General features: G+C 37.7%; 2 annotated features.

Moving 5' to 3' along the window:
* Nucleotides 519-2,252: an enhancer, noted in NCBI's record as "HHc2:066522". NCBI's record gives its function as "enhancer in midbrain/hindbrain boundary" and the evidence as "EXISTENCE:transgenic organism evidence [ECO:0001131][PMID:22448256]".
* Nucleotides 786-2,069: an enhancer, noted in NCBI's record as "VISTA enhancer hs831". NCBI's record gives its function as "enhancer in: hindbrain (rhombencephalon)[7/7] | other[7/7]" and the evidence as "EXISTENCE:transgenic organism evidence [ECO:0001131][PMID:17130149]".

Here is a 2,907-nt window from a genome sequence, read left to right as displayed (position 1 = left end):
ATACGGAGCTTTAAAAGTGCAATGACCAATTTGAAAGGAAAGTTAGAATCCCTTCATACATTTCAAAGAATTGCTCTTTGAACATTCTGTTGTTGTTGCAACATGTCTCTCGGTTATGCTTAGTTTAATTGCTGTTGGCTTTTAGTACAAGACAAGTTCACTCCACTACATTACGGAGTGGTTTGAAACAGCATCATAATCCATAAGGGTTATCTTGTAAATTTTAAGACCATCCAACCCTGTTAGTTGCTTTTAATGATCTGAAATATATTTCTGAAAACTGGCATTATTATTTGTAGTGGAAAATATCATATAATGTAAAAAAGATGGCCTGGATATGTTGCATAATCAAATCAAGATATAGAGATGGGTGAGCATTGTGGAATAGAAATGAGAAATCTGGAAAGATATGCTGGATAGTGATCTCTGATGGGCAGAGCTTTGAAATAAAATCCTAATAACCTGAGGAAATCATTTTAAAGACTTTCAGAAAAAAAAAAAAAGACATACAAGAACAGCTAGTTCTTTGCCTGGCATCTTTTCCCCCCAAAGCCCCAGTAAACAATCTCAAGTGCAGTTAAGATGTTAACAACATTGTTTTGAAATATTTGCCATAAGGTCACACACCATGGTGAATCACACCCTAGAAGCGAGCAATAGGATATTATTAAAAGACACAGCCTTTACATATCTAATTCCAGTTAACCACTTGTAACCTGGTTACAAATGCAAATTTGAACCACTTGTCCCATTTTCTTTCTTTCTTATACAAACAAAATCACCATCCACTATTGATATAATTCTCCAAGCAATGAGACCTGTTGACCTATTCCAAAAACATCTAAGCGTCATTCCATGAAAATTGTGATGTTTAGTTTGTTTCTCTGGTTGGGGGTCTGCTTTTTATTTTGTTTTATCCCAGAAGCAGTGACTATTTTTGGAATTTAGCTTTTGATTTTCCCTTTAATCCCACCCAGAATGCAGTGCTTCTAAACTGTACCAGTGTGTCACCTATCCTCTATTTATTACATCTTATGCTTTAAATATCACCTCTGACAAACAAAAGAAAAGCAAATGTCCCTAAATTTCCTGAAGGGCTGAAACATCAAGCCCGGATTATTATTGTTTATGTCTCAGCTTTAGCAGCTCCAGTGTCTCCATGGTCTGCTGTGTGCTGGGCTGGCAATGATGGATGGCCATTACGGCAGCTTATTGGAAATGGCTTGATTTATAACCTGTTCTCCTGCCTCAGTCTAATGGCTTCATTTCTTTCTTCCAGTGCGTGATGCCACAGCCAAGGTCATTGCACCAATGGCCTTTTGTTGTTAGTCTGCTGATGACCAGTGTGCCCAGGAGTCAGCATGGGGAGGGGTGAAGGGGGATAGGACACAGGAGGGGGTGAGAAGCCTGGGGGTGGGGAATTGCCAACCTTTACATTTTAATTTTTTTTTATCTCAGCCCCTGATAACTGCAGTAGAACAGTAGATTAAATGCTGTCTTCTATTTGCTTCCCGTGCTTGCCAGACAAGGAGCTGCTTTATGATCCTCAGTGGGGAAGTCTATTACTCACCTCTACTTTAAATGACCAACATCAAATATATACAGCTCCCATTAAAGCTGAGATCAATAAAAATGCCATTAAGATAGTAAAAGTTGCTGATATTAGTGAAGCCCCCAAACAAAATATTTGATTTTCTTTCAGGTTGTTAGTGAGATGGAATACGAACATATAAGTGAAAGGAGAACTGGCCATGCCTATGGTCAATAATTTATCTCAGAGATTCATTCAGCCTCTCACCCAATATTTCCCTCCTGTCTATTGATTCCCCATCATTATTTGTCATAAGCTGTCCTAACTCAAGGAGAAAATATGCCTTGCTGGTCCAAGGGGAGTCATACCTGGAGAAATAGAAAGGAATTTCATTAAAAGCGAGAAAGAACTGCTGTGGCTTTGAGAAACTCCAAGAGCAAGTTGCCAAGACTTTGTTAGAGTCCTAAAGTAAAGTTGTAAGCAGCTCAGCAACATTGCACATGGATGTCGGGAAAGCTGGTCTGAGGTTGTTCTGATTGTGGTTAAAAGGAAATCAAAGGGCTTTTCTGTATGAGATTTGAACATCCAATAAGTGTGTATGGTGGGTGAGGCAGGTGGGGCGGGCAGGTTGTGTTTTATTTCATTTTTTCTCTTCCCCTGGAATGTTTCAGTTGATGTTCCCAACGAGGCTCTTACAAGTACTAGAGGGAAGTCAAGGGCTGTACCTTAGTAAAGAGTATACAAGTTTATGCCAATATCATTAAGTCAAACTGGAATCTTAATGGTATAAGCATAACTTTGGAAATAGAATTAATTTTTAAAAGCCTGGATATTTGCTTAAGGGCAATTTTTTAAAAATGGGCTATATTTTATTTTAATAGGAAACATGTTTCTGATGTAGCAGTCAATGGTAATATTTGAAATTGGTTTTGAACAATGGCTTGAAAGCTTGATACCTCTCCAAAGGTCAATGATAAAGAAATGTATAAGTTAAATCTACCTGGAGTTGGCTAATTCTTGCCAACAGATGGTCTTATTACAATTTTCTCAAATCTTAAGTCAGTTTTGTCTGGAACATGAATTCATAGCATTTTAAAACTGAAAGAGATCTTGAGGAACACCTAGTCCCATTTCTCTATTTAATAATAAGAATACTACCGTTACTAATAATAATATTAATCTAATACTTACTCTGTGGCAGGCATTACCTTAAGCTACTTACATCCTCATAACACCTGCATTAAGTGGGTGAAAGTCCCATTTTATAGAAGCATAAAAAGGTTAAGTAACCTGCCCAATATCTTATAGTGCATAGTGGTGGCATGAAGACTCACACCCAGCTCTGTTAGATTTCACAGCTAATCCTAAAAGAAATA

The sequence above is a fragment of the Homo sapiens genome, chromosome 2 (assembly GCF_000001405.40).
Source record: "Homo sapiens chromosome 2, GRCh38.p14 Primary Assembly".
NCBI lineage: Eukaryota > Metazoa > Chordata > Mammalia > Primates > Hominidae > Homo > Homo sapiens.
The sequence above is the reverse complement of the archived record's forward strand: the minus strand, read 5'-3'. Positions and strand labels throughout refer to the sequence as shown.